Source organism: Homo sapiens, chromosome 5 (genome assembly GCF_000001405.40).
Source record: "Homo sapiens chromosome 5, GRCh38.p14 Primary Assembly".
Taxonomy (NCBI): domain Eukaryota; kingdom Metazoa; phylum Chordata; class Mammalia; order Primates; family Hominidae; genus Homo; species Homo sapiens.
In genome coordinates, this window is record NC_000005.10 from 99,971,613 (window position 1) to 99,998,372 (window position 26,760).

At 35.1% G+C, this 26,760-nt stretch overlaps 1 pseudogene; it reads left to right on the forward strand.

Annotated features, from left to right (window-relative positions):
• Positions 24,875–26,518, forward strand: EEF1A1P20 (eukaryotic translation elongation factor 1 alpha 1 pseudogene 20; annotated as a pseudogene).
• The last annotated feature ends 242 nt before the right edge of the window (positions 26,519–26,760 follow it).

The window sequence follows — 26,760 nt, forward strand, 5'->3', positions numbered from 1 at the left end:
TGAACTTTTTTTTCAGTTTACTGTCCTATTAGTTTGAGAATTTTGTTAACTTCTTTACTATTATTCAGTCCACTTTCCACCTTCACAGATACCTCATGAAATCTGGTTCACTAAGCCTTACATAGAGACAGAGGAGTGATAATGTTCAATCCACTAACAAACTAATCTCCATCATACTCTTATTATACTAATTCTAACTAATTTAATTAAACAATTAATACATTAAAACAAAATTTGTTAGAAGCACTTTTAATTTTTATTTTCAATATTTGCTCAATTTAACTTTGGTTCATTTTACTTTTGGTTGAATCAAATGAACCTGTTGGTTTATTTTACTTTTGGTTATTATAAAGGCATAAAATAAACACTACAACTAATTTTTTATTGCAGTATACCTTCTTTTTTATTTGTAATTCATATTCAAGTTACTGAAAATATGTATAATAAAATGAAAAATGTAGATATTAAAGAACATTGTGGATAAATGTGATAGATATCTGGTTATCAACTTAAGAAATATGTCTGGAAAGTGAGATCTAATGTAATTGATATAAAAATATTAGCAGATAGCATTAAAGTTTACTCATATTACCTTAATTGCTGATGCAAAAACAATGGATAAAAATTAAAGCAGTAAGTTATTTTCACAAATTCTAGGGGAATTTGCATTTTTTAGACCTTTTTAAAATTTCATTTTATACACTGGAGTTTTGAGGTCTTTGGTTTTTAAACACATGACAGATAGTCATTAGCCTAAGAAAAATGTGCTCTTCAACTATAACAGGGTGTATTGCACACTCTGAGATTTATCATCATCTACTGGTATTTTACACTTCTGTTAGAGGTTTAAAGTGTGGTTATTAACACTTGTATTATAAACTTTGAAGAAGCTCCTAGGGTACTTCATCAGTTAGGCAAGTTGAAATAGTAAATAATTCAATTGCTGGGATAGAAAAGACAAGCTCCTTTCATAGACTTTAAGAATCGAAACAAAATTGTTGTCCTCATGTTAGAAGTTTAAGTCTCATAATTAAGCTCCTCGCCCTATGACCATGGATGCTGATTGTCCAGTTGATGTTGAAAGCAGCTGCTGATTCATAAGATCCAGGTGGCACAGAGTGGAGTCCTATAATGAAAACTGGTAAAAGACTCTGCCTGCTTCAGGGTATTAAAACCATACACTAACATAAATTAATGATTCATAACTATTCTAAATGGTTAAATGTGTAAAAAGTAACAGTTTTAATATGAAAAAATGATTGTGATTATGCTATTCTCTGGCCCTTTTCTTAACCCTTGGGGATTTCCATAAAAGCTACAGAGATATTGTTAAGTGAAAGTTTATAATCACTTCAGCAGAGATAGAGAATAAAATTCCATTAGCCCTATTACAAAAAAGGCTTTATGCCACATTAGAATGAATTAACACGCTTTAAAATTGAACTTCAAAGAACTTGTTTTTGAGAAGTATAAGTTCATTAAACAAACATTTGGCAATCTTAACTGTAAATACTTTCCTGATAAATTTTAATTATTCTGGAAAAACATGCTTATGGACAATTTTCCTAGAAGCCTGGAGCTTCTCATATATAGTGGTCAAGGACACACAAATAAACCTCATTTCATAAAGTTACTACTTGAAAAACTGGAATAGATGATAGATATCAACTGTTGAAAATTGAACATGAAAGTCTCTACACATAGATCATTGAATTTTACATTTCCTTTTATTACAAAAATAAGAAACCCTAACTGAATCCTTACTTGAGGCATATTATAGTAACTTAGAAATTAATTCCACACAACAGCTCCTAAGTTTTAGGCATCAGTAGGTCTTAATCTGACAGGTCACATACATGATTTTGCCCCTGGTACTCCAATTTTCTTCCTAGCTGGAGTTAATACAGTGTAGCAGCTTTACGCTAGCAATAAGTCCATAATGAGCTTGGTAATGAGGTTCCAGTAGGTGAGCTGTGCTACACTAGCTCTCATGTATCTAAACCAAACATACAGGTCAACGCTGGTGTTTTGCTGTGCCCAGTGCTCCTTTCTGCCTGCTGTTTATGCAGCTAATAGTCCTTTCAGACTTTGTATTTCTCTAGTCCCCAAACTGACTGTTGCTCATCTAAGTGCTTTAGTCTTCAATATATTTTGCAGCTCCCCATGGGCTATAAATACTTAAAATGAAGCTTAGATGTGGGAACATTTACAAATAAACCCCAAGTTAAAGTTTTATATTTCGTTTTTCAAATATGAGAGAGCTGTTTACAGACTTGCAATATAGACTGTAGATCAGGAGGCCCCATCCGCCAGGCCACAGACTGGTACTGGTCTGTGGCCTGTTAAGAACTCTGCTAGGTAAGCCGAGCGAGAGAAGCTTCCTCTGTATTTACAGCCACTCCCCATTACTTGCACTACTGACTGAGCTCCACCTCCAAGTCAGATCAGCAGTGACATTAGATTCTCACAGGAGTGTGAACCTTACTGTGAACTGCACATGTGAGGGATCTAGATTGCATGCTCTTTATGAGAACCTAATGCCTGATGAACTGTCACTGTCTCCCATCATCCCCAGATAGGACCGTCTAATTGCAGGAAAACAAGCTCAGGGATCTCACTGATTCTACATTATAGTGAGCTGTAAAATTATTTCATTATATATTGCAATGTAATAATAATATAAAGTGCACAATAAATGTAATGCACTTGAATCGTCTCGAAACCATCCCCCAACCCTGGTCTGTTGAAAAATTGTCTTTCAAGAAACCAGTCCCTGGTGCCAAAAAGGTTGGGGACCGCTGACGTAGACCATATGTCAGAAATTACATGCTTGTTGTGTAGTAAAAAATCGTTAAGTGTTGATGATAGTTTATTGTTATCATAGTTATATTACTGGATTAGTGCTATTTAGATATTTAATATTTAAAGAGCTTAATAGATTAATGATATTTTTAGAAAGATAATGTTATTAGCACTTTTTGATAATATAATCATAAGTATTTATCATTTCGATAGACTTTAAAGTTTGTAAATAGACTTTTCATTAACATTGTTATATATAGTAGAATTGGGGGAGTTTATTTTAGCAAAAATTGGCTGAAATACTTGCATTTTTTATCATAAAGATTTTGTAATGCTAAAAAATAATGTGTTCCAACTAAGCTTTCTTTTATTCTTAATTACGAGTTCATTGTAGCTTTTGTTATTTTTGGTTTTAATACCTTTTTTGCTAACCATTTTTATACAATTTCTTCTAATAATTTATTCAATTTCTTCTTTTTTAATGCTCAATTGCTTTAATATTCCACTCTTATGCTAGTTTCTCTGCTACTCTAAGTATCTTATGTAGTCAATTAATTAATTTAAAAATCTATGTCAGCAAAGCATAAAGTGTAGAACAATTTAACCAAATGCAATTAAAAAATAACTAGGCATGCCACTAAATCTACAGTTGATAATAGGATGAGAAAAATGCACAATAGATGCTGACATGGAAGTTAGATGAAAACTTTGAATGGCACGTAAACCACAAAGGTGCATTTTCATTTCACAAGCAAAGTCTCATTTGGAATTACACAGCAGAGCTCATTTTTATGTAATACATCATATTGCATAGAATTGTTTTCACACTGATTTCCATGATTCTTTTCAACATTCTTTTTAGACTCATCAGTGCACATACTCTCAAATAATCTGGTTAAACTTGTCTTATCTAAAATTCTAATGTTACTTGAAATAAAGTGGAAAGAACAACTCTGTGTTTACACTTCAAACTGTGTCTTAAAGTACACCCCAAAGCTAGTTGTTCCATATTGTAATACACAGGTTTTGCTTCAGAGGCTGATTACTTTTATTGATTAACATTGCATTTGATTTATTAGCTTTTGCCTGCTTAGAGAATGCCTGATTTTTTTCAGGAATAAGGTGAAGCTTATTGAAAAACACTTGCCAAACTGTGTCTACTAAAGCGTAACAAAAAAGAAGTTGCTTCCCTTCTAGTTCAATATGGCTGAATGAGCAGTTGGATGAACAAATAAAAATCTTTGTTCTGGAAATACTAAGTATAAGCTAAACTGTAAACCCTACAATTATGTGTGTGTGCGTGTGTGTGTATACACTATGGTAGTGATGCTCATAGAATCTAAAAAATGTAGCATTTAAGATAGGCTGGGAAAATAATCATGTAGAAAAATTGCAGTTATTTTGTCTTTTTTAGGTTGACAAATTTGCAGCTTCGATTGCTATTTTTCTACATTCTTACATATTTTTCAGTCTATATATTTAGAAAAAGCTATGTATAAAGATAATAGCATCCAACAAAATCTGTGTTGTTCTAATGCATAACTGAAATTTTCAACTGTGTAATTACTATAAAGGAAACTGTGTGTCTTTAAAATCACTTCAGAGAGGAATATAAATTGAGTTTCAGAAGACAGTGCAAGACTCCGTCTCAAAAAAAAAAAAAAAAGATATGTTAGTTTAATTTGTACAAGGTTATAAAAACAGTAAGAAGTATGGACAGGACTCCTAATACCCATGCAATTAACGAGTTATTTTTACAAGTGATAGCATACCTAATATAAGTACCCCACACTATCTATAGGCAGTGAATTACAAGGGACACTATTACAAAATTGTGTTGTATGTCTTCTATAAGGTGATGATTGTCTATTATCTTCCAATTAGAACAGTTATAGTCTCTGAGAAAGAATTTACAGAATCAATACAAAAACAGCAACAGCAATTATATCTCCATGTACAGGTAAAAAAATAACTCTTTTCAGTTAAAAGATCAAAGAAAATTATAAATTAGATTTACAATGAAAGGGAATGGACACGTACACTGATCCAAATGATTTGGAAAATAAAATCTTAATAAATAATTATTGGTAAAGAATGTAGAAAGAAGTCAGATATCAGTATCTTCAAAATATTTAAATATCAATTTTTTTAAGCTGGGAAAAAACCCACAAAACAGGCTAACATACATACTTACCCGTATTAGGAAAAGAATTTAAGGGCAATTTGATACTGTGAATATTGCAAACAAGAGAGCAAGTAAACTTCCACTTACAGCTATATAAAACTGGCTGGTAGGACCTGATGCTCTAAAAAGGAAAATGTTATTAAAATTCAAGTAGAATCAGAAATTGATATTCCAGTAAGAAGGGGAAAGAAAACAATATAAACTTCATTTTTTTTGCTATTTTTCTCTAGAGGCATTTAGCATAAGGTCCTGAAGAGGTAAAGGTCCTGAAGAGCTATGTAGAAAACCATAACTAAGAGAATATGGAATACAACAGTGTTTTCTTCCATCAGAGCTAAAGAACAAATGTTAGAGTTCAGGATCATGAAAGTAGACAGAAATTGAGTTTATAAGATCACAGAGAAAACTGAAATGCAAATGAGCCTTACATCTTGCATCACTCTTTCCTTCCAGGGTATTTTTGTTCTTTGAACACAGCATGAAAAAAGGCTAATAACTAAGCAAATAAGTAGTGGCTAAGCGTCTCCGAGGCTAAAACAGCTTTGGCAGGTTATTATGGAGATCACTGTCCACCACAGATGGAGGATCTCTAAAAAACACTGTAGGGTTTTAGTATAGGCTCTGAAGTGAGACAAACTAAAGAAAGAACAGTTTGGAAATTGCTCATCAAAGTAAAATAAACCTGAGAATCACCACAATACAAGTCGAATTAAGATCACCTGCCCATTTTTTAATGGCTTCCAGAAGCAAAATAACCACTCTTGCCAGGAAAGTGACACCATTTCGAGTCTCCAGCTTTTTTTTTCTGTGTCTGTGTGTGTGTGTATTTATACAAATATACATTCAATGCAAAATGAGGGTCACATCAGGAGATAAAATCAAAATTCACCAAAAAAAAAAGACTCCTGAATGACACGGATATCAGTATTGTCAAAATGTTTAATTTACAACTGTAAGGTCAAGAATATAAATAAAATAAAGCAAAATTTCGGCATTGAATTGAAATTTATAAAAAGAATGAATGAACTTCAAAAAACATAAAATGTAGTTTAAATTATGAACTCAGTAGATGTGCTTAACAACAGATTAGAGGCAACTAAAGAGACAATATATTAACAGAATTATTTATCAATAGAAAAATGCAGTTTAAAGCAGATGGACAAAATCATAAGAAATAATGAATGGGAAGTTTGCAAAACTAAAAAATAATTGACAAAATACATCCATCTACAAAGACTTCAGAAATTCTACAAAACACAATTGGATAGATGAAATAAAATCACACTTAGCGGCCAGGAGCGGTGACTCACGCCTGTAATCCCAGCACTTTGGGAGGCCGAGTCGGGCGGATCACGAGGTCAGGAGATCAAGACCATCTTGGCTAACACGGTGAAACTCCATCTCTACAAAAAAATACAAAAAATTAGCCGGGCGCGGTGGCTGGCGCCTGTAGTCCCAGCTACTCAGGAGGCTGAGGCAGGAGAATGGCGTGAACCCGGGAGGCAGAGCTTGCAGTGAGCCGAGATCCCGCCACTGCACTTCAGCCTGGGCGACAGAGCGAGACTCCGTCTCAAAAAACAAAATACAAACAAACAAAAAATCACACTTATCATAACAAAACTGTTGGAGGAGAAAGACAAAAATCCTAAAAGTAATAGAAACCTACAATTTACATTTACTGAAGTGACAAAATAACTCAGTCATATTCACAAGAGAAATACTGGTTTGTCATTTTCTAAGTACTGAAAGAAAATAACTACCATTATAGCATTTTATTTCCACTGGGAAATATCCTCCAGGAATACTGATAAATAAAATACATTTTCAGACAAACAAATTGGAGAGCCCCTTTACCTGGAGCCAACACTAGGATAAAGTGGCGGGGAATTTCTGACTTAAATCTTTTATGAGGCTGTATTCAGAAATCATCCAGGGTTAGAATTATATGAAGGCTGAAATGGGGCTGGATGATTTGATATCAAGGTGAATCACTCCCACAGGCTTGAGAGTTGGTATTGATTGTTGATTAAATACTTCAGTTGTTCTTGATAGGTTCTCTCTATGAGACAGCTGGAGTGTTGTCATAGAATGACAATTGGATTATTCTAGACTGAACAAAGCAGGAGTCTAAAGGCTTATCTTTTATGGCTGGCATGCCTTTTGTGGCTTGTTCTTAGAAGTCACACACCATCATATATACAGTATTCTATCAGTCACAAGGGCAACCCTTGTTTCAGTGTAGAAGTGGACTACGTAAGGACATAATACCATTATGGTATTATGGCAAGAATCATTGTGTTCTATGTTTCAGGCTGGCTCCCAGATGTATCTAAAAAATGAAAGCAAGGAACAAAAAACTTTGCTATGATTTATAATTGGAAAAATGCAAATTAAACTACACTGTGGTTTAATTTCTCACTTTTCACCTATCAGATTAGTACAAAACTGTATGATGACAGTCTGAGCGTGAATCTGTGGATAAAACATTGCTCATATGCAATTCTAACTGGAGAGAAATCTGGCAATATCCCACAAAAGCACATTAACATTTAACCTTTGGCCCAGCAAACCTATTTCTATGAATTAAGGCTAATGATACATCAACAACAACTAAAATATTCATGTAGTATTATGTGTAACTAAAAGAAGATAAAGGAAAAATAAAACACTATGCCCATAAACAGAACAGTGAATGAATAAATTAATACATCCATATAATGAAGCATTTTGTATCTGGGAAAAGTGGTAAAGATCTCCTTTTATAAGCAGTATGTGGCCCTGATTCATTATTTTTCTACAGAACAGACATTTTTCATTTTTTTAGAATATTTACATTTAAATGCAGAAGTGATATTGGCTTACAGTAGTAAGATTAGCCAGTTTGATATTGAGATTTTTCTAGTCTTTTAATAATGGCTTGAAGAGCTTTTTATTTTTGCCTGTGCTTCAAAACAATATCTGTCCCTTATAGGTTTTAAAAAATGAACGTTATAGATATCTGATAGGATTTTTTAAGATTTGCGTTTCCCTTGTTAGACAAGAGTTTTTTTTTTTTCTTGTTTTTCTTTCAGGAAAAGGTTTTATTAAATTTCCTGCTGGAAAGGCCTTTGGTATGTTATTGTGTTTATTTTATTGAAAATTTCCTTTTTGATTGCTTTTTCATCAGGGAATGATATATTTCTATTTCAGCAAACTTATTGATGTTCTCTATCATGTAATATATAGCCATTTTAAAATATTGATGTACATTTGATAAGGTGACACATCCTCTATCAGCATGTATATCCAATGCATATTGTAAGTCTGTCTCATTTATCATCGTGTTTAATTCTTCTATGTCTCCATTGTTTGACTCCCCACTCTTATTCTTCTCTCTCCCACCTGAAAGTAACCACTATTCTACATTTTAGGAGTTTCCTCCTTATTCATGTTTTATAATTACACTATAAATTTATTTATTATATGAGTTATAATTCATTTATTCATTATACAATTCATAAAATGTATAATAAATAGCCTTGTCCAAGTTTTCCTATATAGATTGGTTAAAATTTTTCCAAGTTTTTCAAGATTTCCTGAAAGTAGAATGGCTGAGATATGCAGATTTAAATTTCATTAGAAGTGTAAATTATTATTTATTTGTCCTATTTTATTTCCTTCATAAGGTAATAGTTCTAGCTGCAGTCAGACTTTAGAGTTATTTTTTTTTCATTTATTCCTATGTTGTTTGTAGTTATAAAAGGGCATTGACACATTTAGTGTAATGATCTTTCAGAATGTGTATACTTTTAGAATTCTATTAGTTAAAGTTTCTATGTAGACATTGACTTTATTGATATTCAATCCTAACTTTTGTGAATTTTATTTATTGCTTTCTAACTTTATACTATTTTTTGTTGTTTCATTATGTTAGCTAGAATCACCAACGAAATTTTGACTCGAAACTCTGGTAATTCCTATCTTAATCCTAATGTTTTAATCAGAATGAAAATGGTCCTAATATTTCAACATTAAATAATATGATTACTAGAGGTGTTATGTAGATGTTTTGGTTGGTTACCAAAAGTCCCTATTATTGGCATATTTTAAGTGTTTTTAATATGGACAAAGAGTAATAGTCTGTTAATATTCATATGTATAGTAATAGTTTTTCTTAATATTATATCACTCACGCTCTTCAAATTTAAAACCTACTTGGTCACAATGTATTTTTTTTTTTTTTTTTTTGAGACGGAGTCTCACTCTGTCGCCAAGGCTGGAGTGCAGTGGCACCATCTCGGCTCACTGCAAGCACCATCTTCTGGGTTCACGCCATTCTCCTGCCTCAGCCTCCCGAGTAGCTGGGACTACAAGCGCCTGCCACCATGCCAGGCTAATTTTTTTGTATTTTTTTTTGTAGAGATGGTGTTTCACCATGCTAGCCAGCATGGTCTCGATCTCCTGACATCGTGATCTGCCCGCCTCAGCCTCTCAAAGTGCTGGGATTACAGGCATGAGCCACTGCGCCCGGCCCACAATGTATTCCTAATAGAGGCAGGAGGCAGACAAATGCCCAGGTAGATAAGGAAGGGTCCCTGGAGAATCTCCAACCTGCCCAAGTGTTACATCAAATGTTTTGTGCAGATAAGGGAACCTACCCAGGGGGTTTTCCTAGGCATGCCTGCAGGGACTGGAGGGCCACATGCACTGAGGGAATGTGGTGGAGCCAACCTGCATGCAGGACCCCTCTCTTTTCCTTTCACCCAATAAATTCTGCCCTCTTCACCCTTCAATGTGTCTATGTGCCCAATTTTTCCTGGTCGCGAGAAAAGAACCTGGATTTAGCTGAACTAAGGAGCAAAAAATTATCCTGCCTCTATCATTATTTTATTTGCACATTGATGAATTAAGTATACTCATATTTTAATGAATATATGACTGTTTCATACAGACTTTTTGGGAATATTGCTATCAACATTATAAACGATGTGAGAGGTTTAAGAAAAATTATATAAGATATGGCATATCATTTCCTTGAAGGTTTGGTATAATTCATTTAAAAACTGTGCTGTTGGCCAGGCGCAGTGTCTCAAGCCTGTAATCCCAGCACTTTGTGAAGACAAGGCAGGTGGATCACTTGAGGTCAGGAGTATGAGACCAGCCATGGTGAAACTCTGTCTCTACTAAAAATACAAAAATTAGTTGAGCATGTTGGCATGCACCAGTAACCCCAGCTACCAGGCAATATGTAATCACTTTATAATCACATATTTAAATTAAATATTTTAATTTGCCAGAGAGATAATTTAGGACCATTCAAAGGATTTTTAATTCATCCAACCTAGTACTTGATGAGTTGTTACACATCATTTTTCAGCTTTTATGACCATTAATTGGTATAAAGACATGGAGTGTTAATTTTAAAAGTAAAGTTTTACTTTTTTTTTCCAATTTTATAAAACTAAATATATACCCAAACTGATAGATAACAGCTTCGAATAATCTTTATAAGAAGAGCTGTTTTAGTGAAAATTAGATATTAGTTTTTCTTTTAAACTGACAATTTTTAAAAATATTTAATTAATTATACAGTATTTTTGACCACAAAGATTTTTCACCATTGTCACTGTTATTATATAATAAAGATTATGAATAAATTTTAATAACCTTGGGTTATAAAATTATTTACTATTTACAAAACCAAAAATAAAATGACATATATTGCAATATTTAATTCAATGGGAATAAAAACTTTGATTAGGAAAATCCCCATCTAAATATGCAATTCAAGTAGCAACCTCTAGCTTCTTAAGTTAAATAAAAAATTACCTTCTGTTTTTATAAGCAGGAAGATAGACAAGTCTACTATTCACTTTTCCATTCAAATGTTCCTTGAGTACTGAAATGGAAATTAATGAACCTCCTTCTCCAAATCAATACAGATGCCCACCTCCATATCATAATATATGATCATATCATTGAGGTTTCAAGGACTCTCCTTGATAATAGAAAGCATTTATTAAGATTCTACTATTCACCAAATTTACTCAGATTATATATATTATCTCCTCTATTTTTAAAACAACCACTTGGAATAAGTGTTGATTAATTCAAACAATATGTATGAATTGTACAACTTAAAAAACATAAAGTGTCCACCTTCACGAATGTTAAATTATGGTCACAGTAAGTAGAGAGGAGTCAGAAAATGAGCATAACAAATTATCAAAATACAAAATGTTATTTAAAGATTGGTGTTACCGGCTGGGTGTGGTGGCCCATGCCTGTAATCCCAGCACTTTGGGTGGCTGAGGTGGGCAGATCATGAGGTCAGGAGATTGAGAACGTCCTGGCTAACATGGTGTAATCCCGTCTCTACTTAAAAAAAAAAAAAAAAATACAAAAAATTAGCCAGGCATGGTGGCAGGCGCCTGTGGTGCCAGCTAGTCAGGAGGCTGAGGCAGGAGAATGGCCTGAACCCAGGAGGCGAAGCTTGCAGTGAGCCAAGATTGCACCATGGCATTCCAGCCAGGGTGACAGAGCGAGACTCTGTCTAAAAAAAAAAACACAGATTGGTGTTATTTTTTAAAAAGCAGGGAAAGGGAATAGAAGGTGTGGTTGGGAGGAAGTGCTAATTTAGGTTGAATAGTTAGAGCAAGACTTCCTTCAAAGATGATGTTTTAATACAAATCTAAAGTAGATAAGAGATATAACAAGGGAAATATTTTGGGAAGTGCATCTTAGGGAGAACAACAAGGCAAAATCTCAGATTAAACATGTTTAATGTTTACAGAAAACATGTTTGAGATGTTTAGGAATAGCAAGGAAGATAGTGTAGCCAAAAAGGAAGAAGTGTGGAGAGGTATTTGAAATGATTGAGAGAGAATGATTAAGAGATATTAGATCTCAAAATATTTTAAGTATTTCTAAGGGTTTGGGATTTCACTATGAGTGACATAAAAAGTCTTTGACATAAAAAGTCTTACCAGAGGAGTGGCATATGCCTACAGAGAAACACTTTGGCTTTATGGTGAGAATGATTGAAGGACAGGGGAAACAAGATCAGTTAGGAGGCTACTATGGCAACTCATCTGTGGCCTAATGATTGTTTGGAACAGTGGCTTTGTGAGTGCAGGGATGATGAGGGTTTTGAGGAGTGATCTATGACTCATTAAAAGGCTGAGGCTTGGCATGATGGCTCACACCTCTAATCCCAGCACTTTGGGAGGCTGAGGCAGGCGGATCACTTGAGGTCAGGAGTTTGAGACCATCATGGACAACACGGTGAAACCGGGGGATCGAACTTCTGACCTCAAGTGATCCACCTGTGTCAAACTCCCAAAGTGCTGGGATTACACCCGGGAGGCAGAGGTTGCACCGAGCTGAGATCACACCACTGCACTCCAGCCTTGGTAACAGAACAAGACTCTGTCTCAAAAAAAAAAAAAAAAAAAAAAAAAGAAAAGAAAAGAAAAAAGAAAAAAAAATGGCTAGGCATGGTGCCACTTGCCTGTAGTCCCAGCTACTCGAGAGGCTGATGGGTGAGGATCATTTGAACCCAGGAGGTGGAGGTTGCAGTGAACTGAGAGGGGAAAAAATAATATGATAATTTAAGAAAGAAAGCGGAAATGTGTAGTGATGTCTTTGAATATAAAAGGGCCCACCCAGTCCAAATCAGGCTAAAAGACCCCATCACTTTTCCTTATCAAAGGCAATATCCCTTAAGGCCTGAAGCTCATAAAGGATTACAGGATATTGTTAGACATTTAAAAGCTCAAGGCTTAGTAAGAAAATGCAGCAGTCCCTGCAAAACCTGAATTCTAGGAGCACAAAAACCGAACGGTCAGTGGAGACTAGTGCAAGATCTTAGACTCATCAATGAGGGAGTAATTCCTCTATATCCAGTTGTACCCAACCCCTATACTCTGCTCTCTCAAATACCAGAGGAAGCAGAATGGTTCATGATTCTGGACCTCAAGGATGTCTTCTTCTGTATTCTGCTGCACTCTGACTCCCAGTTTCTCTTTGCCTTTGAGGATCCCACAGACCGCACGTCCCAACTTACATGGACAGTCTTGCCTCAAGGTTTTAGGGGTAGCCCTCATCTGTTTGGTCAGGCACTGGCCCAAGATCTAGGCCACTTCTCAAGTCCAGGGACTCTGGTCCTTCAGTATGTGAATGATTTACTTTTGCTACCAGTTTGGAAGCCTCATGCCAGCAGGCTACTCTAGATCTCTTGAACTTTCTAGCTAATCAAGGGTACAAGGTGTCTAAATTGAAGGCCCAGCTCTGCCTACAACAAGTTAAATATCTAGACCTAATCTTAGCCAGAGGAACCAAGGCCCTCAGCAAGGAACGAATACAGCCTATACTGGCTTATCCTCACCCTAAGACATTAAAACAGTTGTGGGTGTTCCTTGGAATCACTGGCATTTGCTGACTAAGGATCCCCAGATATAGCGAGATAGCCAGGCCCCTATATCCTCTAATTAAGGAGACCCAGAGGGCAAATACTCATCTAGTAGAAAGGAACCCGCAGCAACAAGCTTCAAAACCTTAAAGCAGGCCCTAATACAAGCTCCAGCCTTAAGACTTCCCACAGGACAAAACTTCTCTTTATACGTCACAGAGAGAGTCTGAATAGGTCTTGAAGTCCTTACTCAGACTCATGGGACAACCCCACAAACAGTGGCATACCTAAGTAAGGAAATTGATATTGTAGTAAAAGGCTGGCCTCACTGTTTATGGGTAGTTGCAGCAGTGGCCATCTTAGTATCATAGGCTATCAAAATAATACAAGGAAAGGATCTCACTGTCTGGACTACTCACCATGTAAATGGCATACTAGGTGCCAAAGGAAGTTATGGCTATCAGACAACCACCGGCTTAGATATCAGGCGCTACTCCTTGAGGGACCAGTGCTTCAAAAATGGATGTGTGCAGCACTCAACCCTGCCACTTTTCTCCCAGAGGATGGGGAACCAATAGAGCATGACTGCCAACAAATTATATTCCAGACATATGCTACCCAAGAGGATCTCTTAGAAGTCCTCTTAGCTAATCCTGACCTTAACCTATATACCGATGGAAGTGCATTTGTGGAAAATGGGACACAAAGGGCAGGTTATGCCTTAGTTAGTGATGTAACAGTACTTGAAAGTAAGCCTCTTCCCCCAGGGACCAGTGTCCAGTTAGCAGAACTAGTGGCACTTACCCGAGCCTTAGAACTTGGAAAGGGAAAAAGAATAAATGTGTATACAGATAGCAAGTATGCTTATCTAATCCTATATGCCCATGCTGTAATATGGAAAGAAAGGGAGTTCCTAACCTCTGGGGGAAGCCCCATTAAATACCACTAGGGAATCATGGAGTTATTGCACACAGTGCAAAAACCCAAGGAGGTGGCAGTCTTACAGTGCTGAAGCCATCAAAAAGGGGAAAGAGAGGGGAGAACAGCAGCATAAGTGGCTGGCAGAGGCAGGGAAAGACAGCAGAGAGGAAAGGGGTGGGGGGGGGTGGTGAAGACAGAAAGTCAAAGAGTGAAGAAGAGAGAGAGAGAGAAGACAAAGTCAAAGAGAGAAGGAAAGAGAGACAGCAAGAGACAGAGAGAAAAAAGGGAGTCAGAGAGAGAGAGAGGAAGAGACAGAGAGACAGAAAGTCAGAGAAGGAAAGAGAGAAAGAGAGAGAGAGAAAAGTAGTAAAGAAAAAACAGTGTACTCTATTCCTTTAAAAGCCAGGGTAAATTTAAAACCTATAATTGATAATTGAAGGTCTTCTCCATAAGTCTATAACACATATATATAACACACATATATATAACAGATATATATATACACCATTAATTCACACAATTAAATATATATACATATATACCATTAATTCACACAATTAAATATATATGTATATACCATTAATTCACACAATTAAATATATATACATATATACCATTAATTCACACAATTAAATATATATTACATATATAATTAAATATATATATTGTGTGAATTAACGGTATGTGTATATATATGTATGTATATATCTATCTGTAATGGGAACCTAAGGGACAGTGAATTATCTTATAATTCCTTATATCCCATGGTCAGCAGATATCAAAAGAAGAATATTCAGTAAAAATAAATAGCTTTTGTTTTTTTCATTCTATATACTTTTTTCTTATCAATCCCAAAATTTTGATAGTGTATCCGGAGTTGGTTCCTTCCGGTGTGTTTGTGTCCTGATGACTTCAAGAATGGAGCTGCAGACCTTCGCGGTATTATAGCTCTTAAACATGGCACGGACCCAAAGAGCAAGCAGCAGCAAGATTTATTGTGAAGAGCGAAAGAACAAAGCTTCCATATATAATTAATAAAAATATAATTAAATATATATTTAATTGTGTGAATTTTTCCCTCTGATAAACAAATAGAGATTTTGTTATGGAGACAATTGAGTTGCAAAGTATAATTTGATGTGATACAAAACAATGATAAAACAAAAAGAGAATCATGTATTGGATACGACCAAGGCAAGTTTCTCTCTATTCTTACATTAGGAGAAAATGATCTTTTACCAAAGAAGTTTATTTTTTATCTTAAAAGTTCCAGAGCAGGTGGCCTTAGGAGAAAGGATAGTAGATATTAGAAAGCTTAATTGGTGGTATAAAGAAAGGGGAAAGCCTCAAACGAGTTGACCCTGTCTGCATATTTACTTTGAGAGAATTCTTGAACCACTGAAATTGCACCCTATGAACTGCTAACATTCTTAACTGTACTACTTCCGCCTTAATGCATGTCTAATGGTAAATGAAACTCTTGCAAGATAAACAAATGTTTAATATTTTTTTAAACAGAAATATTAGCCATTACACATGAAGTATGGAGAGTTATGTGCATGGTTCAAAAACATGAAAGATGCCGGGCGCGGTGGCTCACGCCTGTAATCCCAGCACTCTGGAAGGCCGAGGTGGGCGGATCACGAGGTCAGGAGATCGAGATCATCCTGGCTAACACAGTGAAACCCCGTCTCTACTAAAAATACAAAAAAATTAGCCGGGCTTGGTGGCGGGCGACTGTAGTCCCAGCTACTCCGGAGGCTGAGGCAGGAGAATAGTGTGAACCTGGGAGGCGGAGCTTGCAGTGAGCCAAGATCGCGCCACTGTACTCCAGCCTGGGAGACAAAGCCAGATTCTGTCTCAAAAAAACAAAACAAAACAAAACAAAAAACATGAAAGACAGGTAGACTAGGGGTTATGAAAGAAGATTAAACCATTCTGAGCTGGTGAAAGACAAGAAACTGACATTTGTTAGTCAAAATATTAGTGTTTTTTCTTAATCAGTTTGGATGTGGCCTTAAATGTTAATGAAGAATAATCTAGACAGCCTTTAATTTAAAAAATCATTGTGTCTTGTAATACACTCCAGACCAAAAGTAGTAATCTTAGTGTAAGCTTTTGGACAGCTATGACTAATTTATTTTTAAGTTCCACTGAGAAGGTTTAAAATTTTTATTTTTTATTTAAAATATAAAAATGTAAAAATAAAATATTTGCTTTTAATTCTCTTTCCAGTGATATTTTGTCACAAAATGAGAAAGGCAAATTACAACTTGAATAGAGGCTTCCCATTAGCTCATTCAGCTACTATATATCTCAATTTTCAGAAAAAAATCATTAGTAATTATATTTTGTTTTGATAATGATAGTTGTTAAACTGTCTCCCCCAGAAGAAAAACCTAGCAAAACAATTCTAGATATCCTTGCCTTGACAAGAGTGGCTCCAAAAACAAAATTATGCCATGATAGCAGGAAGTACTTTTCACTGTGTGTCTTTTAAAGGTAAAACAGTGCATGAAGCCTAGAAAATTATGGTCATAAAAAATTTGAAACTTTTCTTATTTTTGCCAGCCAAATTGTAAAACAATAAAAATATTTAAGCAGAATTTGAATCAATCAAATGTATAAAATTATAATGCAGAAACAGGATTTGTTAATCTTATTTTAAATCTAACATAGGAAAGTATTAATTTCCAATAGTTTTGTTACAGCAAATGTATGGATTTAATCAGTGAAGTGTATGTTTCATATAACATGTATGCTATCCTGTCGATTGGATTGTTTTCTGTTTACTTATTTTATCATCCCACAAGTTAAGCTTTAGGCTGGTAGAGGATAGGCATCATATAAATATCTCATCCACAGCAATGTTTTGTAAACCCAATTTCCTGCAATAGTTCCAAACGTAATAGTTCCAAAATAATGTTTTATTTTTCTTTAGCTTCTAAGCTGTATTATCATTGTTTCCCAGAGATGTCTATATTCCTTCCAAACAAGTTTCTAGGTTCTATGTTTTCAGTCATATGACTTCCTTTTAAGAAAAATATTTATCTAAGCTCCTTTTCTGACATTCTACAAAATCGATTTATCCTCTCCTTGAACATCCATTTCAGTCTTATCCTCAACATAAAGCCACTTTGATCCAATAAATCGTTTACTTCAAATGCAAACACACACTGTCCACTCTGAAAACTTACATGACTTTATGGTACATCTATGAGGTTACTAACTGTTAAGCTTTAATTAGAGTTATCTGTGCACATGTCTGCTTTGCCATAATAAACACATACTCAGTGTGTATAGGGATTATGTCTTAGATACCATGATAGTGGGGCTTCTCAATTCCTATAGAGTATTCACTGGTGAATTTTGATAATAAAAGTAGATGATATTATAGAGATTTAAGGAAAATTTGACAGTAAAAACTGATTCTGCTTTACTGCCACAAACCTGTTTGTACCGAAGCTTGGTGGTAATAAGGGTAAGAAGGGTAATCTAAGTAACCGCCTACCTAAATTTAGCGATCCCAGATGAACTTGCATAGTAAACAAGGAGAATGAGCTGCTTCAGTTTCTCAATTCAAGGATATTTGTTCGTTTGGTTTTAGACACAGATGCCAATAAATAAAACAGGAAAACCCAATGCACATATGCAGTCATATCTACATTAACTTGGCCAGAGAATGTGGAAGAAAGGCTAGATTCTCAAAATCAGAAACTCTCACTAACATAAAGACTAAAAGTAATTCTTATATCCTTAACTCAGATTAATTTATTACCTCACTAATTTGTCTACATCTCTACAGTTTCCCAAAATCTTCTCTAGAGCTTTCACATAGAGTTAGATGAAAAGTGGGTTCAACTATATATTCTGGCTTACTTCATTTACCTTTCATTATTGTAAGGTGGGGCAGAGGGTAATGAGCATGTCCTACATTTACTTACATCTTTGGTTCTAGTACTACAGTAATTGAATTTCTCCTTTCAAATGAATACCTCATGAGGTCCTGATGTGATTATTATGCATTGCATACCAGTATCAAAACAGCTCATGTACCCTACAAATATATACACCTATTATATACCCAAGAAAATTTAAGATGAAAAAAATTATAGAAAATCTCTCCTCACATATTGAATTGCCTCAGTTCTTTGGTCAAAATAATACAAATGATTTCATGATTCTATCATTTTTTTCTACAGGATTTGTACCCCTTTGCTTCTAAATCCTAGTGACCTGAATATACTCAGTTTTTAATATGCTCAATAAGTAATTTTTATTAATTTCTTTCCCTTCACACAAAGAAGGTATCCATCCCTGAAAATCCAACCACCTACCCTATAAATAACTGACATTATCTATAATGTTAAAGTTAATAATTCTCGATATTTATTATAACTATGTATGTGTATACACACACACACACACACACATTTTTTTTTTTTTTTTTGCCTAAGTAATGAGAGACTTAACATATCATGTATAGAAACAGAGCTGTCCCAGAATCTGCAGCAACCAATCCAGGAAGCCAAGCCACAAACCCGGTAGCAATCATCCCAAAACAGTCACTGCTTAAACAATAACTAACAATTTCCCTCATTTTTGTCCCCACTTCCAATTTAGGACCAACTAGAGACAACCAAATATATTCCCCTAATCAATCATGAGAGTTTCACTCCCCCAACTGCATCTTCTCAATTAGCACATACAGCCTGCTGAACTTTTGATTAAGTACTTTAGCAATTATTTGCTAGTCTTTTCTAACCTTGTGTAGTGAATACATTTATTATTTTAATGCTTTAGAGTGTTTCTTAGATATGGTGTGTTTTTCATCTCTTTAATTATTTACCAGGACCTATCACTTGGCTTACAAATATTAGGTGCTGAGTAAATCTTGGTTAAATAATAAACTAGTATTGTTTGCCTTATTAATCATTTATTTTATGATATTTTGATAGCTGTGGCAATAGCCTAATAAAATGAACTTACGTGATACCATTTGGTTTATAAAACATTTTTTAATTAGAACTTATTTGTTCCACTGTCTTCACTGAAGCATGTGATTTGTAAGTTATTATCTTATCAAATATATAAATGAAGCCTTTTCTTAAGATTAATGAACTAGTTGCTTATTAGATATGATGATCACTACAATCAGTGCTATCCTCAATTTTAAGCTTAATTCTAAGGCTTTATATTCCAAATATATTCAGGTATATGCTCTTCGCTTGTTTGTTTGGTTTTGTGCTTGTGTTTTTGAATTGTGTTTTTCATGCCTTGGATATCCCGATGTGCTTATAAATTATGCAGTACAAATAGACATCAGTATGCTTATTGATAAAATCCTACTGGCTATTTCCATAAGGTGGCTTTCAAATTTATGGTTTTTTTTTTTTAGCTCCTGCTTATAACTAAAATCTTCGTAAGTGATATTTTTGTGTTCTTTTTGTTGTCTACTGTTATTCTCTTCAATTTCACACATGTCTTTCAAGTGCATACAAAAGGTGGGGGAGATGAGAATGACTAAAATAAAAACAATTAAAATATCGTTTCTATTTGTTTTCTAGTAAAAACATCATAATCTTTGAAATTTCACCTTATATTTAAATCTTTCATTTTTCATTTAAGCTTTTTACATATTTTCTGTTTTAATGCTAATATAAATGTGTTGGAAGTTTAAAATAAATGTCTCCTATAACGTCTTAATTTTTAACATAATTTCAAGAATCTAATATATTTCTAGTTTAGAAGTATTGCTTTTGTTGAAGTTACAAATGCTGATAATGATAATGAAGCAGCTTCAATAAAAGATGATCTAATAATTCTTTGTGTTTTGGAACAAACTTAATAAATTACGTTACAGCATTCACAATGCTTAGGTAGTTGTTTTATTTTTTTTCCAAAGTTCTCCAATACTTTATAGTCACTTATTTTGTAGTAAGAGGATTGTCCTTGTAGGCAAATCTAAAGTATCATTTGCTATGTATCAGTATTTTCTTTATTTCTCCTTTAGGAGACGTTTCTTTTTTATTTTGTGATAAGGCAGAAAAATAGAATGAGCCCAAGGGTGTTATTTAATTACATGTTTTCTCAGCTACAAATCAAATAGGTCACTTCCTTCTGAATGAAACCATGATGATAAAGGAAGATGGCATCAGAAATATTATCAGAAAAATGATAGTCAAAAGGAAATTTGTCCTGAGACCAGACAAATTAAGATGAGTTTTCTATCTCCACTAATAGCAACCAGTAGGAGACCCCTCTAGGTTTACCGCCCAGCTTAAGCCAATAATAACATTATTTTTCCTATGAAATCCATGTCTATTCCCTAATTCATATGGTTGTAACTTCAGTGGAGGTGTCAGTACAATAAGTTCTGTTCCCATGGCCACAAATGACTGCACAAGTGGCGACTTTACCAAAGACAATAATCCATTTCCCATGATTTAAAATTGGTATTAGATGATTAGTATCTAAAAGATTATAGTTTAATTTGTGCTGGTGCCTTCAAAAAAGCAACTTTACGATGTATGCCTTATAGAGCAATGTGTCTACAGTACTTGAACAAAGTTGCAGAACATAATACAGGTTACAGCCAAAGAATAGTGATGTAGCTAAACATTGAGAACCATAAATAAGGTTATCTTGAGTTACTGATGTATTTCTATTTCTTATTTCAATTGATTTCTGAGCTCTGGGTATATTTTGGCCCATTGATTTTTGAATCCTCAAAATAAGAGTTTTTCTACTTAAACTCAAGTTGTTTTTTGTTATTTACAGAATGTTAATATAGACTCAGTGCCACATATGCCAATACAGCCTTGGCCAGAGATGAGCTACCTTTGCATATTAGACTGTGCAAATATTTATTATTCAAGTTCACATAGCCTATGTAAATATCCTAAAATATAGGATACATAGAATATTCAAAAATACATTAAACTCTCGGTTTCTCAAGGTCAAAGACTTTGCGGAGCAAGTTTTATTTTTAAATATATATTCACAAAAGTATACACTGAAAAGTAATATATACTCATCTACAATATACTCATATTTACTAGTCAGGGAATCTTCAGAGTATCAAGTAGTTAAAGAGGATATTATTTTCCCTATTTTCAAATTACCATGCTAAGTGACTTATATAGGGTCATGTAGATAATTGGCCTCTTCACAGCATGGTGTTCTCAAAGTAGTCAGACATCTTACAAGGCGGCTGGCTTTTAAGACAGAGCATGTAAAGTGGTTAAAGGTGGAAGCTCCAGATCTTTCAACATGTAATCTGAGCATTTATCCAAGGTCACTTTACCACATTCTATTGGTTAAATCAGGTCACAGGACTTGCCTTCTTTCAAAGGAAGAAAAAAATAGACTTCAACTCTTTAAGGTAGAAATAATAAAGGATTTGCATGCATTTTCAATTTATTGCTCTAACAGACTGGCATGGGCTCAGTCATGCCAGGATCTGTAATACCAAAAATGGGGCTATTAATTTTAAGGATGATCATAATCAAACAAAGATCTCCCTACTCTACAATAGCATATAAAATACTTTGAATTTGATCTTCTTGAGTAAAATAAATATTTTGCACAGTTTTGAAATATATATGGTATTATTAATACTAGGTGTTAATAATACTAATAAATGTTATAACTTATAAGGCACTGGAATGCCAAATAACCAATTTCCTGTAGCACTTTAGCTTTCTAAAATTCTACATTTAAATGAGATCTGGCCCATTATATATTTAACTTACTATTTCAAAAGTGGTTTTACTATAAGTAAATAGTGTACCTACTTCTCTAAGGGCTAACTATAGAATAATAGGGTATTTAGCAAGAAATGAAATGAGAGGCTAAAATACTTGTCTACCAAGTAGACAGGTATCATGTGTAAATAACAAGGTACTTATGAAAATTACTTCATAAGAATCAATGGAAGAAAACATAAAGTACATAAATTATTGGTGATATAGTAGTAACTGCTCTGAAAAAGAAAACTTGTCTCTATCATATAGGAGGAATGTGCCACTACAAATGGAACTTCACTGCTATTCCAGTATCAGTAGGATAGGTACTAGGAGTTGATTTTGTAGTGATGTTTTAAATTTATGAAGTATAGTATATATTTCCCAGGAGGTGGAATGGGGGAAAGATTTTAGAACCTAGCCTTTGGCCAGAAAAATTTTATTTGTTCAACACAAACATATATGAAAGGGTTTAACATTACGGGAAACTTAATTGGTAATTGTTAACAGAGCTTCAGTGTCAAAAATTCATAGAAACCTCAAAGCTCATCTCTAAAATGTTTGACCCTTGTTTTTAATCTCTCTGAATTCTGACCCTCCATCTAAAATAGCTAAACAGAAACACTGAGATGTTCCATTTTCACCTAAAAGTTGGCATTTTGAAAACTGAATTCATAATTTTCTTGACAAAACAAATTTCAGGGTTACCTTAATTATCCAATCTTTTGTTTCAGTGTAACTTCTCTTTCAGCCATCCCTTTCTTTTTATTCCTACAGCTAATGCTCTGTTTCATGTCCCTATATGCCAGCTGAAACACTGAAATGAGATGGTCTATTCTTCCAACTTAATTATTAGGACACATTTGCATAGTACTTTATTGGTTTTGCTGAAATAATAATTTATTATATGGGATTCATACAACCTACCTATTAGACTCAGGCTGCTGAACATGGTATATTATGCTGTTAGGTTCAAAACACAAACTTTTCTTCCAGTTTTAGTTCACACTATATACACAAACCATTACCAATAGGAAAATTGTCTATTTTTTTTTTTTTTTTTTGAGATGGAGTCTCACTCTGTCACCCAGGCTGGAGTGCCGTGGCGCAATCTCGGCACACTGCAACCTCTGCCTCCCGGGTTCACGCCATTCTCCTGCCTCAGCCTCCCGAGTAGCTGGAACTACAGGTGCCTCCCCAACCACTCCCGACTAATTCTTTGTATTTTGGGTAGAGACTGGGTTTCACCGTGTTAGCCAGGATGATCTCTATTTCCTGACCTTGGGATCCGCCCGCCTTGGCTTCTTAAAGTGCTGGGATTACAGGCATGAGCCACTGTGCCCGGCCACAAATTCCATTTTCTTTCTTGTATCCGTGTGTTTTTTAACAGTCTTCCAACTCTCTTCTCCTAAGGATCATCTTCCTCATATTCTATCTCCTCAAATTACCAATATAAATCTATTTATTCTTTAATGTTCCTTTATCATCTCTCTTTGCATTCCATCTCTACTCCCATGTCCAATTTCTCTCCATGGGAAGCTGTTCTTCTCTGCACGTCCTAGCACTTATTTCTGCAACTCTTTGATAAATTTATAATGTTTTGCTCTCTTCCACTTCTTTTGTTGATTCCTTTTTTTCATGTCTTGTCACTTCAGACTGTAAGAATGCTGAACACATTCTTTTACTGTTTTATACTTATCTGTGTACCATACGGTGCTCAGAGTTGTTGGTTGATTAATTAGATGCATGTAGTTCACTGAGACACAATAATATCTCTTGGATTTATACAAGTAATAAACAAGTAGGGACTATGAAATAAGTTTTCTGCTCTGCATGGACCTAACTCCAAGTATCACAATAAAGTAGAATTTGGGTGGTTTATAAAAAGATCAGATGCCAGACAGAGAATTTAAGTGTTGCATATGTAATGCAAAATAATCAATGCAAATGGATGACTAACAGCAAGATGTTGACTATTATAGGAAACTGTTCACTGGCTGTAAATCATACTCTAGGAAAACCACCGCAAATCCTTTTCAAAATACCCATCTATATCTAAGAGGCAAACCATCAAAAAGCAAGAAAGCTTAGAAAATGTCATGACGGGAGGTACAAGAAGGGGAAAATGTGCAAGAAATGTTTTTCATAATAAAAAGGTCTTAAGAGAAATGAAGTCTCTGTTTTGTACTATTTTATAGAAAGTGTTATACAATCAATTATGATGCAAAGTATTGGGGAAACAGGAGTCAAAATAATTATTTTTTAAAAATGTATTTTTGTAGTTCTATACATTTTGCTCTTGTATTGAAAACCTGAAGATATAGTCATCCCTATCACAGTATAAAACAGTATGCAAAGGACCTTCCCTGAACCAACAGTATAGATGAAATTAAAACAAACATAAACAAAGTCAGGTAAAAGTTAACAATGGATTTTTTTCTTTTTTTTTTTCGATACAGAGTCTTGCTCTGTCGCCCATGCTGGAGTGCGGTGGCCGATCTCGGCTCACTGCAACCTCTGCTTCCCGGGTTCAAGCGATTCTCCTGTCTCAGCCACCTGAGTAGCTGAGATTACAGGCATGTGCCACTGTGCCTGGCGAGTTTTTGTATTTTTAGTAGAGACAAGGGGTTTTGCCATGTTGGCCAGGCTGGTCTCAAACTCCTGACCTCAGGTGATCCGCCTGCCTTTTATGTTGACACAGTTATAAGTCCATGTCTATAATGTGGAGATGAAATACTATTTAACTAAAAGAAGTATGCCATACACAAGATTGCCCATTTGGTCACAGAGTTTGATCGCCCAAGCAGACTGATAAAGCAAAACAACTCATTCTTTTCGCAAGAGGTTTGCTGTCAGAACACAGATGTCATGAAAACCACCCCTAAAACCAAAGTGGGAAACAAAAAGACTCATATCAATATCGTTGTCATTGGACATGTAGATTTGGGCAAGTACACCGCTACTGGCCATCTGACCTACAAATGTGGTGGAATCAACGAAAGAACCATTGAAAATATTGAGAATGAGGCCACTGAGATGAGAAAGAACTCCTTCAAGTATGCCTGGGTCAGTCTTAATAAACTGTCGAGTGTGAATATAGTAAACTGTCGAGTGTGAATGTAGTATCATCATTGGTATCGCTCTGTGGAAATTTGAAATCAGCAGGTATTATGTGACTATCATTGATGACCCAAGACACAGCTACTTTATTAAAAATCTGATTGCAGGCATATCTCATACTGGCTTGTCCGGATTGTTGCTCCTGGCCTTGGTCATTTTCAAGCTATGTTTTCCAAGAGTGGATAAACCCATGAGCATGCTTCTCTGGCTCACACACCGGGTATGAAACAACTAATTGTCGGTGTTAACAAAAGTAGAATCCACAGATTCCACCCTACAACCAGAAGAGATATGAATAAATTGTTAAGGAAGTCAGCCCTCACATTAAGAAAATTGACTTACTACCGTCATAAAGTAGCATTTGTGCCAATTTTTGGTTGGGATGGTGAGCCAAGTGCTTGCATGCTTTGGTTCAAGGCATGGAAAGTCATTGATAAAGACAGCAATGCCGGTGGAACCATGCTGCCTGAAGGTCTGGTTTGCAAACTACCACCAACTCACCCAGCTGACAAGCCATTGCATCTGCCTTTCCAGGATGTCTACAAAATGATATTGGTACTATCCCTGTGGGCCAAGTGGAGTCTGGTGTTCTGAAACTGGCATGGTGGTCACCTTTCTTTGAGTCAATGTTACAACTGAAGTAAAGTCTGTTGGAAGGTACCATGAAGCTTTGAGTGAAGCTCTTCCTAAGAACAACGTGGGCTTCAGTTTTAATAATGTGCCTGTCAAGCATGTTCGTTGTGGCAATGTTGCTGGTGACAGCAAATATGACCCACCAATGGAAGCATCTGGCTTCACTGCTCAGATGATTATTCGGAAACTTCCAGGCTAAATCAGTGTTAGCTACACCCCTGTACTGAATTGTCACACTGCTCACATTGCTGGAAAGTTTGCTGCACTGAAGGAAAAGATTGAGCACTGTTCTGGTAAGAAGCTGGAAAATGACCCTGAATTCTTGAAATTTGGTGATGCTTCCATCATTGATAAGATTCCTAGCAAGTGCATGTGTGTTGAGACCTTCTCTAACTATTCTCTTCTGGGTCATTTTGCTGTTCGTCATATGAAACAGTTGCTTGGGTGTCATCAACGTAGTCGACAAGAAGGTTTATGAAGCTGGCAAGGTAACTAAGTCTGCCCAGACAACTCAGAAGGCTAAATGAATATGATACCTCTACCTACCATCCCAGTCTTAATCAGTGGTGGAAGAATGGTCTCAGAACTATTCCTTTCAATTGGCCATTTAAGTTTAACAATAAGTCTGGTTGATGATAACAATGCATCGTAAAACCTTCAGAAGGAAAGGAAAGTGTTTTGTGAACTATTTTATTTTTGCATTTGACAATTTTTAGTTATTAGTTTTTAAAATCCATACTTTTTAATAGAAACAACTTGACAAAAAATCTATTGCAGAATTTTGAGACCCATTAAAACAAAGCTTAATGAGAAAAAAGCGACTCATTTTGAGAAATACGAATGAAATATCAATTACCCATTTCTTTGTCAAGAATTGAATGGTAACTCACTTTTAAAGAAAAGCCAGCACATCTGAGACTAAGGATGCATTTTAATAAAATAACAGCTTTTTCAAAGAAATACAA